This window comes from Homo sapiens, chromosome 17 (genome assembly GCF_000001405.40).
Source record: "Homo sapiens chromosome 17, GRCh38.p14 Primary Assembly".
NCBI classification, from domain to species: Eukaryota; Metazoa; Chordata; class Mammalia; order Primates; family Hominidae; genus Homo; species Homo sapiens.
Genome location: NC_000017.11, coordinates 712,406 through 732,567, shown reverse-complemented (window position 1 = coordinate 732,567; position 20,162 = coordinate 712,406). Strand labels below are relative to the sequence as shown.

The window sequence follows — 20,162 nt, the reverse complement described above, 5'->3', positions numbered from 1 at the left end:
CAACCCTCCGCCCCCGTCCCCGTCCCGCCTCCGCCCGGCGCTGGCCCCGATCCCGCGGCGCGGCTCTGCGCGTGACCAGGCCCGGCGGCTGCGATAGGGCGGGGCGGGGTCTCTCGCGGTCCCTGGGCCCGGAGGGTTCCCCGGCGTCCCCGGCGGGCGGGTGGGCGGGGGCGGAGGCGGGGACCGAGGCGGCGGCTGTGGCCGGGGCCGCGGCGCGCGCGCGTTCCGAGTCCGCCGCTCCCTCCCGAGCGGCCGCGGGGCCCAGGCGGAGGCGGGAAGGGCCGCGGCTCCCGGCTTCTGTTCCGTCAGCGGACGCGCCCCTCCCCGACCTGCTCTTCTCGCCGGCCCCGGGCGAAGGGGCGGGGTGGGCGCGGGGCCGAGGAAGCCAGGTAGGAACCCCCTCCGGGGTGGGGCGAGGCCCGCGGGGAAGGAAGGAGGGAGGCGGCGTGTGGCCCTGGGTTCGCGGGCCCCGTCCACCAAGCCCTGGTGCTTCTCGGTGGGAGGCCTCAGGATGTGGCCTCTCCCCGCACGGCCGAGATGCTTTTCCCGGTGCCGCCAGCGGCTGCAGCCGCTCCGGGGTGGCCCTCAGGAAGCGTGAGGTCCGGGGGCCTCCAGCAGCCCCTCTCCACCTGCACCAGGAGGCGGACTGTGGAGGCTGCAGGCTCTTACTGCCTCTCGGCTTTGGATCTATCCGGAGACACCATCCAGAGGCGTAGGGACTGTGGTGTTGTTCACAACGTGTCGTTATTTAAAAGTATCGGGGTCGGGCGCGCCTGTAACCCCAGCACTTGGGGAGGCCGAGGCGGGCAGATCACTTGACGTCAGGAGTTCGAGACCAGCCTGACCACCACGGTGAAACCCCGTCTCTACTAAAAATACAAAATTAGCCAGGTGTGGTGGTGCCTGTCTGTAGTCCCAGCTACTCTGGAGGCTGAGGCAGGAGAATCGCTTGAACCTGGGAGGCAGAGGTTGCAGTGAGCCGAGATCACGCCACTGCACTCCAGCCTGGGCCACAGAGCAGGACTCTGTCTCAAAAAACAAACAAACAAACAAACAAAAAAACAGTTATCGGGACAGGCGTCTAAACTTGAATGAATTGGAATACATTTCATTTGTGCCAAGCACCAATCACATGGATGAAGACAGGAATTTCAGTATCATTGGCTTCTGTCCTTTAGGAACTACCAGCTTTATTTTGCTTTGGTCTGTATCTTCCTCAGCTAACAAACGTAGGGGGTGGGAAATACAGTTCATTTATGTTACTACAAATGAAAGGTATGACGGGTCTCCTCAGATCACCGTCATGCAAAATGCTGACCAAAATCCCGTATGAGGACTTCGGAACAGCTGGGCTCGGCTCTCTGGGCCACGATTTGCTGGTCCGTGAAATGAGAGGGAGGCTGGATCACTAGCTCTTTAACGGTCTTCCAGCTCTAGATTCTTATGAGTCTATGACTTTTACAAAGTGGCAGATGATTTCTGTTAGGTGCCAGTTAAATTACTTTAACACGGCAGTTAGTGATGTAGGAACTGGTGTAGAGTGAGCACAGCTTTTGTTTTTTTCAATTTGGATTCATTCATGATGGAGTCTGAAGATGTTTCTCAGGTTTAAAAGATAGTTTTCCTTCAGTGGTAGTATCAGTTACTAGGCTGTGACCTTTTGGAATGAATGTAGCCTCTAACATCTTCCTATATGTGGTTAAGAAAAGGGACTTAGCCAACAGGACGGTGGCAGACAGCCTCAAGAAAAGCCTCAAACTTCGTCCACTTAGGGCAACATCTCTAACTCCCAAATTCACTGCTGACATACTCAGTGAAAGGAGAAAGCCACTTCAGGTTGGTCCCAAGATATCTGACAAATGCGACGCTCTCTTTATTTTCACATTCGCTTGTGGACAAAACCAGCTACCTGTGAACTCTCCATTCTCTCCAGGAAAACGACTCTGTGCAGTCCACTGTCTCTTTCCTAAGCATTTATCACAGTGACCTCCAGCGCCAGTGTTTCCAGAGAGTGACAGGTGGTTACAAGTCCTCCCTGCCTTCCCTCCTTAAAGGGAGCAGCAGCTTGGCAGTGAGTATGCTGGCACCTTTGAGTGGTGGGAACCAGTCTCCCCTACACAAGAAGCTGTAAGGCATCTTTATGAGTTGAAAACAAAACAACCGATGTTTCATGTATAGAAAATAGCAAGTAAAGGCCGGGCGCAGTGGCTCATGCCTGTCATCCCAGCACTTTGGGAGGCCGAGGCGGGCGGATCACGAGGTCAGGAGATCGAAACCATCCTGGCTAACATGGTGAAACCCGGCCTCTACTAAAAATACAAAAAGTTAGCCGGGCGTGGTGGCGGGCGCCTGTAGTCCCAGCTACTCGGGAGGCTGAGGCAGGAGAATGGCATGAACCCGGGAGGCGAAGGTTGCAGTGAGCCAAGATCGTGCCACTGCACTCCATCCTGGGCAACAGAGCAAGACTCTGTCTCAAATAAAAAAAAAAAAAAGAAAAAAGAAAATAGCAAGTAAGATCAGTTTCAACACCATGCTCAGTGAAGTCACCAGACTGTTTATGTTGAATCACCATAAAGCTAACAAGCAGAAACATGAACCTTAGCTTTTCAAGCGATCAAACCCCTGTCGGCAAATGGTAAGGCCAAATGAAAAACACGGGGCCTGGTTTACACAAACTTCCCCTCATCCTTCAAAAGTCTCGAATCAGCTGTTTCCTTCTCTAAGAAGGTTTCCAGGTCTGCCTTTGGGTTTGGGTAACGAGGCTGTTGTTTTCTCATTTGTATGTTTCTCCACCAGACTGTTAGGTCCTAGAAACAAGGACTGTGTCTTTTCATTTTGTACCCCAAGTGAGGCTGGCACATTCTGAGGGTGCAATACATGTTTCATACTTTCCAAAGCTCATACCTGTTGAGTACTTACTGTTTGCTAGGTCCTATGTCAGATGTTTTGTCTACATTGTCTCATTAAATCCTCACAACAGATGTTATTCTCACTCTGTGTGTGTGTGTGTGTGTGTGTGTTTGTGTGTATCAGCAAAATGAGACTCAGACCAGAGCAATTTAAAAATCGCCCCAGGTCACACTGCTGGTGGCGAGCTGGGATTCAAACTCAGTACTTTCTGCCTTTAGTTCCATGTGCCGGATGACTATACTGCCTTCAAGCCTGATAAGCAAGGAGGGAATAATAATCTTTCACAATATAGTTTCTGATGAATACTGTTCCTAATTATTTACTCATAAATTTGTATGGTGAATTGATGGGCTCTGATGCTGCCATGAACAGTATTCTCTGTTTATATGTAACTTTACAAATTTTCAAAGCACTTTCACGTGTAGTAGCTCACCTGGGTCTCAAAATAACCCAGTGAGGTTGGCTAAACCTGTTATTTCCATGTTACACATGAAGAAAGCGAAGTGCAGGATGGGCCGCTGACTCACCACCCTGTGAAGGGACAAGGCTCAGGTTAGAACCTGTTCCAGGGTAATTTCCACTACTCCAGGCTGTGGGGCTGGGTTTCACCAGTTTGTCATTACACTGCTTGTGTGGGTTTCCAGAGTGAAATTTGGGCTACTTAATGCCAACGTAAAACTCACTTACCAAATGTAGACTGTCGCCCCCTTGAACAGAGAATTTATAAAGCTCCCCATTCTAAAGGGCTACGGAGGGATTTTTCTGCCATGAAAGCATGTGGGCCTGCCTTTCCATCTCCTCTCCCCCATTCCTCTGGACCCCACTCGCTATCATTAAGGAATAGGACACAGGGACTCTCCCCATATCTGTTTCCTGGTTTCTTCAGCCTTAAATGGAAAATACCGTATTTACTTGTAAAATACTTTGTGAGTTCTCAAGTGAATGCCATTAAGATATGTGATGTGTGGGCAACTACCCTTGATCGAGGACCTTTTCCTCCTATCTGGGAAAATCATGTACATGAGAAAGAAGTGAGATCACACGTGAAGCGCCTCCACGTAGTGAGCTCCCGAACCAAAAGGGAACTTAGGGGTCTCTGTCCGCTCATCCACTTTAAAAATCCTAACACAGCCTGGGCACAGCAGCTCACAACGGTAATCCCAGCACTTTGGGATCCGTCCAAGGTGGGTGGATCACTTGAGCCCAGGAGTTGGAGACCAGCCTGGACAACATGGCAAAACCCTGTCTCTCAAAAAAAAAAAAAAAAAAAGCCAGATGGGTGGAACCCACCCCAGTAACTGTAGTCCCAGTTACGCAGGAGGCCGAGATGGGAGGACTGCTTGAGCCTGGGAGACAGAGGTTGCAATGATCCCAGATTGTGCCACTGTACTGCAGTCTGGGCGACAGAGCAAGAACCTGTCTCAAATAAATAAATAAATACCCTAACAGAGAAAATGGACATCTGTTCTGAAGTAAAAGTTACTTTGTGTAGACCCATACTTCATTTCCACAGTAGGGACCATTGAAGCAGAGAGAGGGCAGGAAGGACAAAAGGAGAATGAAGAAATAGGAAGAGACATAGAAAGATACGGCACAGGGGGTGGGCACGTGGGCACGGTGGCTCCTGCCTATTATCCCAGCACTTTAGGAGGCCGAGGCGGGAGGATCACTTGAGCCCCGGAGTTGGCTCCTGCCTATTATCCCGGCACTTTAGGAGGCCGAGGCGGGAGGATCACTTGAGCCCAGGAGGTGGCTCCTGCCTATTATCCCGGCACTTTAGGAGGCCGAGGCGGGAGGATCACTTGAGCCCCGGAGTTGGCTCCTGCCTATTATCCCGGCACTTTAGGAGGCCGAGGCGGGAGGATCACTTGAGCCCAGGAGGTGGCTCCTGCCTATTATCCCGGCACTTTAGGAGGCCGAGGCGGGAGGATCACTTGAGCCCCGGAGTTGGCTCCTGCCTATTATCCCGGCACTTTAGGAGGCCGAGGCGGGAGGATCACTTGAGCCCAGGAGGTGGCTCCTGCCTATTATCCCGGCACTTTAGGAGGCCGAGGCGGGAGGATCACTTGAGCCCAGGAGGTGGCTCCTGCCTATTATCCCGGCACTTTAGGAGGCCGAGGCGGGAGGATCACTTGAGCCCCGGAGTTGGCTCCTGCCTATTATCCCAGCACTTTAGGAGGCTGAGGCCGGAGGATTACTCGAGCCCGAGAGTTAGAGACCAGCCTGGGCGACATGGTAAAACAAAAAAATACACTAATTAGCCGGGTGTGGTGGCGTGTGGCTGTAGTCCCAGCTACTCGGGAGGCTGAAGTGGGAAGATTGCTTGAGCCCGGGAGGTTGAGGCTGCAGTGGGCCATCATCACAGCACTGTACTCCAGCCTGGGTAACAGAGTGAGATCCTGTCTCAACACACACACACACACACACACACACACACACACACACACACACACACAACGCCAGTATACACTTTGATACAGGAAGATAGACATAGAGATGAAGATCTAAAGATTGGCACAACAACAGAACACGAGGAAAAGGTCAGACACGGAAAGAAAGGAAGGAGGTGTCCAAAGAGGAGAACAACAGCCTTCTGCGGAACTTCATTCTCTTTGGCAACAAAAGCCACACTGCGTCTGAAGAAATACGGTTCAGAGAATGAGCTGACTTGCTCTTAGGACTTTGAGTGTGGCCAGAAAGAAGTCAATCACCCTGCTCTTCATTTCTCCTTCACTTTGTTTGCCTGATCAGTGTAGCCCTGAGCTGATATGTGTGTGTGCGTTTCTCTGGCAGACCACATGCCCCTGACGGTAGGGGCCGTCTGCCTGGGAGGCAGCCACTGCATAGCGCATTGGAGTTGGGATCCGAGAACCTGAGTTCCAGTCCACGCTCCACCACCTGGAAGCTGTGTGACCTGGAGAAAACACTTTGCCTCCTTCCCCAGTAAAATGGCGGTTCCTGCCTCTACCCTCCAGGATGGCTGGGAGAATTAAATGACATCCTATTTTCAAAACGTTAAACTGTGTGCTCGGCACAGGCAGGGGATTCTTGTTCTTTATACCGGATCCTCAAGGCATAGCCCCCTGCTGTTAAACTTCTCAACAAGCACCTGCTGGATTACAGATTCCCTAGGTGGCCTTAGCCCGACTCCAGACGGCAGCTTCCTTGGTTTTATCTTAAGATTCTTTGCAAGAGCAAACTGTGAGGCCGGGAAGCACAGCCACACCCCAAACCCATGGTTTCTACAAACAGCGACCGCAGCTGCATGCTACACGGGAGACTCCGCTCTGATTCCTGCCGGTAAAAACCGTAATTTACACAAGGAACCGATGATGGAGTGCTGCTTTTATGTATTGCTGTGTATTTTTCAAAGCACTTTCACATACATGTTTCTTTTGCTAAAAATGCAAAATCTGGCTTGTTTGCAGATAGTCACACCTATCTAAAAGCAAACATTTCTAAACTCAGGTTTCAAAAATATTTAAGGGCTGGCTGGGCACAGTGGCTCACTCCTGTAAATCCAGCACCTCGGGAGGCCAAGGTGGGCGGATCGCTTGAGGCCAGGAGTTCCAGACCAGCCTGGGCAACGTGGTGAAATCCCGTCTCTACAAAAAAAAAAAAAAACAAAAAAAAACTTGTTGTGATGTTGCGTGCCCGTAGCCCCAGGCACTTAGGAGGCTGAGGTGCGAGATCACCTCAGGTTGAGCCTGTAGTGAGCTGTGACTGTACCAGGCACTCCAGCCTGAGTGGCAGACGGAGACACTGTGTCAGAAGAACAAAGGTGGGGGTGTGTTCCTCACTCTGTTGCCCGGGCTGGTCTCAAACTCCTGGCCTCAAGCGAGCCTCCCACCTTGCCTCCTCAAATGCTGAGATTACAGGCATGAGCCACCACGCTGGGCTTCAGACCTACTACATTTTGTCTGTGGCAAGCATGTCACACTTGTGAGGAAAACAAGGACAAGGAAAACCGCAGAAATGATTAGCCAGCACTTTGGGAGGCCGAGGCGGGTGGATCACGAGGTCAGGAGATCGAGACCATCCTGGCTAACACGGTGAAACCCTGTCTCTACTAAAAATACAAAAAAATTAGCTGGGTGAGGTGGCGGGCGCCTGTCGTCTCAGCTACTCGGGAGGCTGAGGCAGGAGAATGGTGTGAACCCGGGAGGCAGAGCTTGCAGTGAGCCGAGATCGCGCCGCTGCACTCCAGCCTGGCGGACAGAGAGAGACTCCGCCTCAAAAAAAAAAAAAAGAAAAAAGAAAAAAGAAAAAAAAATGATCCAAAAGAATTTTTCAAATGATACAAACTAGAAATACACAGAAGAAATATAAAAAGGCCCATTGAAAACTTTATAAGTAGGCCGAGCGCGATGCCTGTAATCCCAGTGCTTTCGGAGATGAGGCACGAGGATCACTTGAGACCAGGAATTCGAGACCAGCCTGGGCAGCGTAACAAGACCCTCTACAAAAACATTTAAAAATTATCCAGGTGCGGTAGCATGTGCCTGCAGTCCTGGCTACATGGGAAGCAGAGGTGGGAGGATCCCTTGAGCCCAGGAGTTGGAGGCTTCAGTGAGCCATGATCCTGCCATTGCACTCCAGCCTGGGTGACAGAGCGAGACCCTGTCTCTCAAAATAACACACACACACACAACTTTATCAGTGAATATGGAAAAGACGGAAAATATCCACTGTGCCTAAGTATATAAGGACGTAAGCACTTTTTTACAGTGCTGGTAGAATTAAAGTAATATAGGATTAGGCCAGGCGCAGTGGCTTACGCCTGTAATCCTAGCACTTTGGGATACAAAAATTAGCTGGGTGTGGTGCCGTGCGCCTGTAATCCCAGCTACTCAGGAGGCTGAGGCAGGAGAATCGCTTGAACCCAGAGGTGGAGGTTGCAGTGAGCTGAGAGTGTGCCACTGCACTCCAGCCTGGGCAACAGAACGAGACTCCGTCTCAAAAAAAAAAAAAAAAAAAAAAATATATATATATATATATATATATATATAATATTGTTTATAATAGCAAAAAATTAGAAACAACCCAAATATTTAGGAATAGAATAAATAGGGCTGGGTGTGGTGGCTCACACCTGTAATCCCAGCACTTTGGGAGGCCGAGGTGGGTGGATCACTTGACGTCAGGAGTTCGAGACCAGCCTGGCCAACATGGCGAAACCCCAACTCTACTAAAAACACAAAAATTAGCCAGGTGTGATGGCACGCACCTGTAATCCCAGCTACTCAGGAGGCTGAGACAGGAGAATCGCTTGAACCTGGGAGGCAGAGGTTGCAGTTAGCCGAGATAGCGCCACTGCACGCCAGCCTGGGTGACAGAGTGAGACTCTGTCCCAAAAAATAAAAAAAGGAATAGAATAAGTAATTTACAGTATGTTCCAACTATGGAATACTCTGTAGCCATTAAAAGAAGAAATATAGCCGGGCGTGGTGGTGTGCACCTGTAGTCCCAGCTACTTAGGAGCCCAGGAGGTCAAGGTTGAAGTGAGCTATGATTGTACCACTGCACTCCAGCCTGGAGGGCTAAGTGAGACCCTGTATTTAAAAAAAAAAAAAAAAAAAAAAAAAGGAGAAACAGACCAACATATAGACAAGCCTCCTGAGTAGCTGGGATTACAGACATGTGCCACCACACCCAGCTAATTTTTTGTAGTTTTAGTAGAGACGGGGTTTCACCAGGTTGGTCAGGCTGGTCTCAAACTCCTGACCTCAGGTGATCCACCCACCTCGGCCTCCCAAGGTGCTGGGATTACAGGCGTGAGCCACCACGCCCAGCTAATTTTTTGTATTTTTAGTAGAGATGGGGTTTCACCGTGTTGGTCAGGCTGGTCTCGAACTCCTGACCTCAGGTGATCCACCTGCCTCAGCCTCCCAAAGTGCTGGGATTACAGGCGTGAGCCACCGTGTCCAATCAGGAGTTTAAATATATTTTAGAGACAAGATCTTGCTTTGTCACCCAGGCTGGAGTGCACTGACATGGTCATGGGTGGCTGCAGCCTAGAATTCCTGGGCTTAAGGGATCCTCCCAAGCAGCTAGGACTACAGATGCGGTCCACCACACCTGTTTATTTTATTTTATTTTTTTGGTAGAGAGGAGGTTTCCCTCTGTTTCCCAGGCTAGTCTTGAACTCCTGGGTTCAAGTGATCCTCTCGCCGCCTTGGCCTCCCAATAAGCCATCACACCTGGCCTTGAACAACATTATATTTAGGAAATATAAACTTTCTTCTTTTTTTTTTGAGATGGAGTCTTGCTCTGTTGCCCAGGCTGGAGTGCAGTGGCACGATCTCGGCTCACTGCAACCTCCGCCTCCCGGGTTCAAGCGATTCTCCTGCTTCAGCCTCCCAAGTAGCTGGGATTACAGGTGCATGCACCACCACACCCAACTAATTTTTGTATTTTTTTTTCTTTTTTTCGGGGTTTCACCATGTTGGCCAGGATGGTCTCGAACTCCTGACCTCGTGATCCACCCGCCTCAGCCTTCCAAAGTGCTGGGATGACAGGCATGAGCCACTGCGCCTGGCCCCAGGAAATATAAACTTTCTACTGATTTCCTGAAGGAAAGCTAAAATAAGGTTAGCTGAGCAAAATATTCTGGGCTGGTGAAGGGAGAATGTAATTTACATATCAGTGATTGTCAAATTACAGTGATGAAGATCATACCTCTTGTCAAAATACTGCATGTGGGAGGTTTGTTCACAACATTTTTAGGTTTAGCAGAAAGAAGCGTGGGCTAAAAAAAAAAAAAGGTTAAAAAATATTCCATGGCTTGCAGTGAGCCGAGATCGCGCCACTGCACTCCAGCCTGGGCGAAAGAGCGAGACTCCGTCTCTAAATAAATAAATAAATAAATAATCCATGAAACGGCAGGGCGCGGTGGCTCACGCCTGTAATCCCAGCACTTTGGGAGGCCGAGGCGGGAGATCACAAGGTCAGGAGATTGAGACCATCCTGGCTGACACGGTGAAACCCCATCTCTACTAAAAATACAAAAAATTAGCCGGGCGTGGTGGCAGGTGCCTGTAATCCCAGCTACTCGGGAGGCTGAGGCCGGAGAATGGCGTGAACCTGGGAGGCAGAACTTGCAGTGAGCCGAGATCCCGCCACTGCACTCCAGCCTGGGCGACAGAGCAAGATCCTGTCTCAAAAAAAAAAAAATATATATATATATATATATTATATATTATATATATATAAAATATATATATATGTATGTATATTCTATGAAACACCCTTCATTAAAACTGCATGCAAAATGCTAAGCAAATGTGTATTTTTCCAGGGAAAGGATCTGTGTAGAGTTCTTCAGCTCCTCCAAGGGGTCCAGACTCAAAACAGATTAAGAACTACTGTTGTACACGAGGAAGAAGCGTGGCAGCTGAAGATCCAGCTCTGGGAATGCAGGAAGAAGTGGAGTCGAAAAAACAGGTTATGGAAGATGCTTAAGGGTTTTAGATACGATGAATTAATGTTAGCTACATTATAATGATTGTACTAGTTAATGTCAGTTTTGTAAAAAGTGTTTTTATAGTTGTTGGCATATATAAAACTTGCACAAGAGGGTTTATTAATTTGGCCTATATAATTATTACTTCCTTGAGTAAGGGAAAGGATTGCTTTAATATGAACCCAACGTAGCCAGTGTAAAAGGTTTTCATTTTAAAAGCCTTTGGGAGATATCATGTGAAAATGGCCGTGGGAACAGGGGAGCTGCTGAAACTAGCTGGAAATCATGACCGGCTTAGCAAGAATGGGCATGCAGAGAACCAGAGTACCAACCTAAACAAAACTGGTGTCCAGGATACAGGGAGGGTTCAGAACCATCCGAATGTCAATCAAGAACAAATGCCAGGCTCCAGGAGATTCAGGAAATTCAGGAATCAAGGACAGTGAAAGAACCAGTCATCGTGAAAAGCCACGTACTAGAAACAGTCCATAAAGAAGCACCAAGAGAACATTTTGAGCTGATTTCAAGGGGAAATTATACCCTATTCCTCCACTACAAGTTGGCCTGGGACCTTGTGCCACCCAGAGTGACGATAGGATCTAAAGGTGATTGCTTGGGAAGCCTAGGGGGCATTTTGGAGATGTGTGGGAGGTATTGCTGCTTCTGTCACTGTTGAGGAAAGGTACTGCTTGACTGGCATTTAGTGGGCATGGACCAGGTAATTGAGACGTCCTGCAATTCTTTTTTCACAAGCAGTTTTACAGAAGGCTCAGCTATTTTGGAGAAGGTCCTTACAGAGAGGGAAGCTTATGTGGAAAGATACCGTCTTGATCTTATGGAAGAACACACTTTGCACAGTGTCTACTCCGTATATGACGGGGCAGTTACCTCTGCGCTCTGACAACAAGGTTGCAAATATAACCGGATATTGGAGATTCCTTTCCACAGAGTTATTAACGCTACATTGACACAGACACATGACATTTAGAGATCTCACTGAATTTCATTAACAAAGGCTGTTTTAAAATTCCTATTTCTAGACAGTATACGTAAAGCATTTTTTGGCAAGGTGAGAAACGTTATGGAAACTCCTCATGTGAGGTTTGGTGTTATGTTTCCATCTTAGTCTGACGTTTCCTCAAGGGGTGCCACACAACCCCCTCACAGCCTACTGTATACTCCCTTCCAATCCATGCTCCCCCAACTCCTACACAGCCTACTGTATACTCCCTTCCAATCCATCCTCCCCCAACTCCCTCAGCCGACTGTATACTCCCTTCCAATCCATCCTCCCCATCTCCTACACAGCCTGCTGTATACTCCCTTCCAATCCATCCTCCCCATCTCCTACACAGCCTGCTGTATACTCCCTTCCAATCCATCCTCCCCATCTCCTACACAGCCTACTGCATACTCCCTTTCAATCCATCCTCCCCCAACTCCCTCACAGCCGACTGTATACTCCCAATCCATCCTCCCCATCTCCTACGCAGCCTACTGTATACTCCCAATCCATCCTCCCCCAACTCCCTCACAGCCGACTGTATACTCCCTTCCAATCCATCCTCTCCACCTCCCTCACAGCCTACTGTATACTCCCTTCCAATCCATCCTCCCCATCTCCTACACAGCCTACTGTATACTCCCTCCCAATCCATCCTCCCCACCTCCCTCACAGCCTACTGTATACTCCCTTCCAATTCCTCTCCCCATCTCCTACACAGCCTACTGTATACTCCCTCCCAATCCATCCTCCCCCAACTCCCTCACATCCTACTGTATACTCCCTTCCAATCCCTCCTCCCCCATCTCTCTCACAGCCTACTGTATACTCCCTTCCAATCCATCCTCCCCCATCGCCTACTAAAGGCCACAGTCTCCAAGGTTTCGTTTTGTTTTACTTTTAAAGTATTAGAGACTGAATTTCTGCCTCAGACGGTGAAATTTCAAGGTAGAAAAATGTTTTCTGTGAAACTTTGTCATCACTATACCCTATCCTACAGCAAAATAGGAAGTTGGTTTTTGTTTGTTTTTGAGACAGAATCTTTCTGTGTCACCCAGGCTGGAGTGCAATGGCACGATCTTGGCTCACTGCAACCTCTGCCTCCCAGGTTCAAGAGATTGTCCTGTCTCAGCCTCCTGAGTAGCTGGGATTACAGGTGCCCACCACCACACCCAGCTAATTTTTTGTATGTATGTATGTATGTATGTATGTATGTATGTATGTATTTTATTTATTTATTGAGATGGAGACTTGCTTTGTCACCAAAGCTGTAGTGCAGTGACACAATCTTGGCTCACTGCAACCTCCACCTCCCGGGTTCAAGTGATTCTCCTGCCTCAGCCTCCTGAGTAGTTGGGATTACAGGCATGCGCCAGCATGCGCCACCATGCCAGACTAATTTTGTATTTTTAGTAGAGACAGGGTTTGTCCATGTTGGTCAGGCTGGTCTCGAACTCCCCACCTCAGGTGATCCACCCACCTCGGCCTCCCAGAGTGCTGGGATTACAGGCGTGAGCCACCGTGCCCAGCCTGGAAGTTGTTTTTTTTGAGCCCAGCTCATTTGTGAAAATATCACGTGCTCCTTATTTTCATACCCAAATTTCTCATATCCATAAACTTCCACATTTTATTTCTGTCAGAAGTATACAATCTCTTTCTAGATTTCCACCTCCTGTCAAAGGTATTTCCTTCTTTTGTTTGACATAAATGAATCAATCTAGTCTGTTATTACTTAAAGAAGTTTTTTAAAACCCAGTGTGTCAACCTATCTCTCTGCTCTTTTAACTTCCTTTACTTCTTTGTACTGCATAACTCTCCTAAACTCAAACTTATATTATTAGTAGCTTATCTGCAAAGAGGGAGAAGGGGTATCATGGAGTTGGGAGCTCCAGAGGAGGCAAAGGTTTTGGGTCACGGGAGAGTGCCATTGAGAACGGACAATGGATGCTGAGAAGGACAATGAGAATCAGTGGAAATAAGGCAACAGGAATTTGTGCTGAACATGGTCACCCTGGTTTCATGATTCTCCACAACAATATGGGAAGCTCAGAGGCAAAGAAAAAAACAAAAAACAAAAAACAGAGAGACCAGGGCTGATGGCAGGCATGGTAAACCTGGTCATGCCCCTCCTCTGCTTACAGTCCGTCAGAGGCTTCCCATTCCTTCAAGAAGACCTTCCAGATCCTTCACCGTCCGGCAGTGCCCATTTCTCCAGCTTCCTCGTGTATCACTCTCCCTTGGGCTTTCAAACTTCCATCACCCTGGCCGACTCTTTTCATACTCATGGCTTTTGCACATTCTGTTCCTTTTATCTATGTGTTATCTTCACTTCCAACCCTTGGCTTCAGCTTAAAAATCACTTCCTCAGAAAAGCCTTTCCTGGCCGGGCTTGATGGCTCACACCCGTAATCCCAGCAGTTAGGGAGGTCAAGGCAGGCGGATCACCTGAGGTCAGGAGTTCAAGACCAGCATGGCCAACATGGAGAAACCCCGTCTCTACTAAAAATACAAAAATTAGCCGGGTGTGGTGGCGTATGCCTGTAATCCCAGCTACTCAGGAGGCTGAGGCAGGCGAATCACTTGAATCCAGGAGGCGGAGGTTGCGGTGAGCCGAGGTCGCGCCATTGCACTCCAGCCTGGGCAACAAGAGAGAAACTCTGTCTCAAAAAAAAAAAAAAAAAAGAAAAAAAGAAAAAGAAAAAGAAAGAAAAGGCTTTCCTGACCCCTAATCCAATCAGAACTCTAACCATATAGTCTCTCAACATGTGCTTTACTTCTCTTTTATCGGATCTATCACAATTATATGTTTATTTGTACAAATGCCCTTTTCATACATAGAAATAGCTCTGTAGAGGCAAGCATGGGGTCTATTTTGTTCACTGCTGAATTCCCGGCACCTAGCTTGAGTACCTGTCGCTAACAGGAACAGGTGTTCAATAAATGTATTGACTAGCTTAATGAACGGCAGGAAGACTTAGGTATACGGCCTTAGGCAAATTTTTATTTTGTTGCTTGTTTTAACTAGATCTTCATCTCCTATCTGTTAGATGGGTATAGTAATAAAAACTAACAACCTCAGAATTGCTGTGTGAATTAAAAGAGACAATGCATGTAACATGCTTCGAATGGTACCTGTCATATAGTAAGGGCTAGGAAATTTTCCTTCTTATTATCATCATTAAAAATAAGCTCTCTGAGCAAACAGAACTCTCATACATTGCTGGTAGCAATGTGAAAGTGATACAGCCACTTTGGAAAACAGTTTACCAGTTTCTTAGAAAGTTAAACACAGACATATCATATAACACAGCAATCCCACATCTACATATTTACCCAAGTGACATGAAAACTTATGTTCACACAAAAATCTGTACATGAATGTTTATAGCAGCTTTATTCATAATTGCCAAAAACTGGAAAAACCCATATGTCCTTCAACCAGGGACTAGATAAACAAATAGTGGTGTATTCATCTAGTGGAATACCAGCAAGAAGACATGAACCACAGATACATGCAACAACATGGATGAATTTTAGATACTTTATGACAGATGAAAGAAGCCAGACTGAAAAGGTGTCATACTGTATGATTCCATCTATATGATATTCTGGAAATATCAAAACTATAGGGACAGGCCAGGCGTGGTGGCTCATGCCTGTAACCCCAGCACTTTGGGAGCCTGATGCTGGCAGATCACCTGAGGTCAGGAGTTTGAGACCATCCTGGGCAACATGATGAAACCCTGTCTCTACTAAAAATACAAAAATTAGCCAGGTGTGGTGGCACGTGCCTGTCATCCCAGCTACTCAGGAGGCTGAGGCAGGAGAATCGCTTGAACCCGGGAGGCGGAGGTTGCAGTGAGCTGAGATTGCACCACTGCACTCCAGCCTGGGTGATAGAGCGAGACTCCGTCTCAAAAAAACAAAAACAAAAACAAAAACTATAGGGACAGAAATCAAGTCAGTGGTTGCCAGTGGATGGGGTGAGGCAAGAGGGAATTTGGGGGAATGAAATTGTCCTATAACTAGATTGTGGTAGTAGTTACATGGTTATATACATTTATTTATTTTGTTTTATTATTGTTTTCTTATTATTTGTTTGTTTGTTTTGAGATGGAGTCTTGCTCTGTCACCCAGGCTGGAGTGCAATGGTGCAATCTTGGCTCACTGCAACCTCCACCTCTCGGGTTCAAGTGATTCTGTGCACCACCACGGCCAGCTACGTTTTGTATTTTTAGTAGATAGAGACGGGTTTTACCATGTTGGCCAGGCTGGTCTCGAACCCCTGACCTCAAGTGATCTGGCAGCCTCGGCCTCCCCACGTGCTGGGATTATAGGCGTGAGTCACCATGCCCAGTCGTTTATACACATTTATCAAAACTCACTGCATCATAAATTGCAAGAGTAAATTTTACTGTATGTAAATATCTTAATTTTTTAAAGGAAAAAAAAAGTCCAAAATAAGTAGCTATAATTACCTTTTCCTTTTAGAAAAAGGCATTCATATTTTCTGAGCATGAGAGAACTACAGGCTCATTGTAGACATTTGGGAAAATGTACAAAGGATGTACATTCATCACGTGCAGAAAAGTAATATTTCCTTGCTGTGAGCTTTATTGGCACAGAATACACACAAAGCTGGGACCATGCTATGCATTTTTTAAATGAAATTATACATTTTGCTTTCTGAAATATATTGTGCATATTTTTCATGTCATTAATTTTCAAAATCATGATTTTATGAATCAATAATATTCTATGTTTACTTAAGAGACAGAGTCTCCCTTTGTGGCCCAGGCTGGAGTGCAGTGGCGCAAAGGAATCATTCCTCACTGCAGCCTCAAACTCCTGGGCTCAAGCGATCCTCAGTGGTGGGATGAGATCTAGACCCCTGATATTCAATCTCAGAAAGTCAATAATTCCCTGCCTCAGCCTCCTGAGTAGCTGGGGCTGCAGGCCTGTGCCACTGCACCAGGTTCAATGTATATTTTATTTTGTCTTTTTTTTCTTTTTTTAATGTATATTTTTTAGCATTCCTTTGTTGTTAGAAATTACATTGTTTATATAATTATTATTTGTCAATTAAAAATAAAAGAAAAAATCATACTGCTCCTATTTTTTACTTTGAGCAACTCTGATAACAACAACAAAAAAAAGTTCAGTGGGGCCAACGCGTTTCCCTCCTGGAGTTTCCCGGTTCACCTGGTGGAGCGGGTCCTCCTTGGGCTGCAATTCCCTCCTTCTTTTCAGTGTCTGCAGGAAAGGTGGTTTCACAGGGTGATCGGTGATCTGGCTTATTTGTTCCTTTGTGGGGGTAAGGGCTGGGCACCTCACTATTTCCTGTATTACCAGCTTGAATTTACATCGCGCTGTTAATGTTTAATCCTCTCCACATCGACGCGGGGTAGTAATTTGTTCCAAGTCACACAACTTATCAATGGTGGACTATTCAGGACTTAGATCCCGGATATTCAACCTCAGTAAACGTCTCCCCAGCTCCAGGGCGCTGCGTCATCTGGCTTTAAAAAAACGTTTCTGGCCGGGCGCAGTAGCTCACGCCTGTCATCCCAGCACTTTGGGAGGCCGAGGCGGGCGGATCACGAGGTCAAGAGTTCGAGACCAGCCTGGCCAACATGGTGAAACCTCGTCTCCACTAAAAATACAAAAATTAGCTGGGCGTGGTGGCGGGCGCCTGTAATCCCAGCTACTCGGGAGGCTGAGACAGGAGAATCGCTTGAACCCAGCAGGCGGGGTTGCAGTGAGCCGAGATCGCGCCGTTGCACTCCAGCCTGGGCAACAAGTAAGACTCCGTCTCAAAAAAAAAAAAAAAAAAAAAAAAGACGTTTCTCCCCATAAGGAGGCTGCAGTCACCTCGAAAAGCTTCTGCGCAGAGCCCGGCGCACGGGGAATTTCTATCGAGTGGGCACTGTCCCGTCCTACGAATGTCCTTGGCGACATCGCCACTCGCCAGCTGGGATCACGTCGCCCCCGTGGCCGGGGACACCCGCTGCCACTGACCGAGGGGGCCCCGGGAGCTGAGAGGTCGCCGCTGCGCTGCCCGCGGAGGCTGTGGGCTGCGGTTGGCGACGCCGCAGGGCTGACTTTCATCCGGGCGTCCTGCTGGAGGCCAGACCCTACCCCAACCTCGGGGTCCTCAGTGCGGGGCGCGCCTTGGGGAGGGAAGAGGCCCCGCCCATCCTAAGGACGCGCTGAGGCCACGCGGGGCCGCCGGGATACTGCGTTGCCCGGGAGACACCTGACGTGACAGGAACGCCGCCAGTCTCAGTCCGCCGTGATCCCACAGTTCCCCGGTCCCGGAAGTGCCCTGGCCTGCCGGAAGTGCCGGAGCGGCTGACAGAGCGGCTGACGGAGCCGGGCTCACCAGGTCGCTGCCGCGAGGGAGTTGCTGTGCTGGGGCCTGGGTGGCGGCTGGAGGCCTGAGTTGGGCTCGCGGCGGGGGTCGGCAGGGGGCCGGGTGGCGGAATGATGGAGGAGGAGGAACTGGAGTTCGTGGAGGAGCTGGAAGCCGTGCTGCAGCTCACGCCCGAGGTGCAGCTGGCCATCGAGCAGGTAAGCGTTCCGCCCCTCAGGAGGGGAAACGGGAGTGCGGGAGGGGAGACGGCAGCTCCGGGCGCTGGGGAGGCCGCGGCGGGTGGACGGAGGGCCGGGGGCTCGCGGCAGAAGGGAAAGTGGAGGTGGGGAGGTGGTGCGGGTGAGAAGCGGTTTCTGAATCAGAAGGAAAGGAAAGAGAACCCTTTCTAGGCTTTGATTGTCTTTGGCGAGGGCTGGGGGTTCTGGTGGTTTTGGGGAAAGGAATTGTGCGCTTAGAGAGGACGACGCTAGGAGAATGCAGGCCTTGGGTGCCATCCTCAGATTCTGGGGACTGTGGGGGCTTCATGCATTTACCAGACTCGTGCCAACGCCCCGGTTTTGCAAGCTGGCACCTCGTGAGTGGCTTGGAACTGGGGGAAGGGAATGACTTTAATTTCTGAAGCGGACGGCAGAGAAGAGAGAAAGTGTTGAAAAATGACATCGTTACCATTCTTAAAAGGTTGAGAATTCCTACCGTTGAATAGTTTGGGTGAGGTTGGAGAATACTCCCAAGGGGCCTCTTTTCCCTTCAGGAACTTTTTTTTTTTTTTTTTTTTGAGACGGATTCTCGCTCTGTCGCCCGGGCTGGAGTGCAACGGCACGATCTCGGCTCACTGCGACCTCCGCCTCCCGAGTTCAAGCGATTCTCCTGTCTCAGCCTCCTGAGTAGCTGTGATTACAGGCGCACGCCACCACACCCGGCTAATTTTTTTTTTTTTTTGGGGTAAAGACGGGGGTTTCACCGTTTTGGCCAGGATGGTCTCGAACTCCTGAGCTCAAGTAACCCGCCCGCCTTGGCCTCCCAAAGTGCTGGGATTACAGGCGTGAGCCACCACGCGCGGCCCTGCCTGCAGGAACTCTTGCCTTTGCAAGTTTATTGAGTTTTTAAGGCTAATGATATTAGAAATAGTGATTTTTTTCTTTTCTTTTTTTCTTTTTTTTTGTTTTCTGAGACGGAGTCTCGCTCTTTCGCCCAGGTTGGAGTGTAGGGGTGCCATCTCGGCTCACTGCAACCTCCGCTTCCAGGTTCAAGTGATTCTCCTGCCTCAGCCTCCTGAGTAGCTGGGACTACAGGCAACCGCTACCATGCCTAGCTAATTTTTGTATTTTTAGTAGAGACCGGGTTTCACCATGTTGGCCAGGCTGGTCTTGAACTCCTGACCTCAGGCTATCCGCCCGCCTCGGCCTCCCAAAGTGCTGGGATTACAGGTGTGAGCCACTGCACCCGGTCAGAAATAGTGATTTCTAATACTGCAGGGTATTGCTCCTGATAAACGGAGAAAATCTCCCTTAAAGGAATTGTCATGAAGTTATATGATTTAAGAAAGGGATTTATGATTGAGGAAATGGACAATTCCATTATGCCTTATTTAATGACCCCTGGGAAACTTTTTTTTTTTGAGATAGGGTCTTGCTCTGTTGTCCAGGCTGGAGTACAGTGGCATAATCGTAGCTCACTGCAGCCTCGAACTCCTGGGGCTCAAGTGATAACCCTGCCTCAGCCTCCCGAGTAGCTGGGACTACAGGTGCATTCATTGACGCTTCGATGTGTGTTTTTCCAGTAGTGGTTGGATTACTTATACAACCAACTTTGTCCTAGCCTGAGAACGCCAAACCATTGGGCAGGAAGCTTTTAGTGTTCCGGCCACACGGCTCCACCACTTACCTCCTTTTGCCAGAAAAAGACATAACATTTCTGTTGCTCTTTGGACTAGTGGGCTCTCATGGAAGAAAAGAATAATGCAGTCAGTTACTGTTTGGTTGACAGGTATCAGAAAAGCACATTTTTGCTATTTCTTTTGTTTGTTTCAACAGCTTTTGGGGTACAGGTGGTTTTTGATTACATGGATGAATTACATAGCGGTGAATTCTGACATTTTTCCTATTTTGTAAGAATAAGTTTGAGTGATAGTATAGCAGACATCTTTATGTCAAGCAGAATTCAGACATCATTATGTCAAGATGAATTCAGAATTTTTTCTTACTTTAGCACTCTGAATGAAATTCTGTAGTAGCATACTTGTAAAGAGTAGTGATGTGTGAGGAGTCAGGAAGGGTTGATAAAATGGAATCACATTTTACTCCAAGATGAAGTCCCAGAGTCATTGCATAAGGTGAAAATTGGCTGGGCTCGGTGGCTCACACCTGTAATCCCAGCACTTTGGGAGGCCAGGGCGGGTGGATCACGATGTCAGG

The 20,162-nt window shown here is 48.5% G+C and overlaps 1 protein-coding gene and 1 long non-coding RNA gene across 9 annotated transcripts in view, besides 3 other annotated features; both read left to right on the top strand.

Annotated features, from left to right (window-relative positions):
• Window positions 16-495: a silencer, noted in NCBI's record as "silent region_7941". NCBI's record gives its function as "represses an Ori minimal core promoter by ATAC-STARR-seq in GM12878 lymphoblastoid cells {active_cell/tissue: GM12878}" and the evidence as "EXISTENCE:reporter gene assay evidence [ECO:0000049][PMID:35858748]".
• LOC124903893 (uncharacterized) lies at window positions 188-10,496 on the top strand. Its single transcript, XR_007065572.1, has 2 exons — window positions 188-389; window positions 10,208-10,496. It is a non-coding gene; the product is annotated as an uncharacterized LOC124903893 (long non-coding RNA).
• Window positions 2,465-2,759: an enhancer, noted in NCBI's record as "tiled region #11717; HepG2 Activating DNase matched - State 23:Low". NCBI's record gives its function as "activates a minimal TATA promoter and a strong SV40 promoter by Sharpr-MPRA in HepG2 cells {active_cell/tissue: HepG2}" and the evidence as "EXISTENCE:reporter gene assay evidence [ECO:0000049][PMID:27701403]".
• Window positions 17,188-17,257: an enhancer, noted in NCBI's record as "active region_11438". NCBI's record gives its function as "activates an Ori minimal core promoter by ATAC-STARR-seq in GM12878 lymphoblastoid cells {active_cell/tissue: GM12878}" and the evidence as "EXISTENCE:reporter gene assay evidence [ECO:0000049][PMID:35858748]".
• The window catches only part of VPS53 (VPS53 subunit of GARP complex), a 206,172-nt gene continuing 203,738 nt past the window's right edge, over window positions 17,729-20,162 (top strand). For all 8 annotated transcript variants that reach the window (XM_047436345.1, XM_047436344.1, NM_001128159.3 and 5 more), the window contains exon 1: window positions 17,729-17,945. In XM_047436345.1, the coding sequence (XP_047292301.1) occupies window positions 17,859-17,945 (87 nt within the window). In that variant the 5' untranslated portion in view covers window positions 17,729-17,858. The remainder of the gene's footprint in view (window positions 17,946-20,162) is intronic.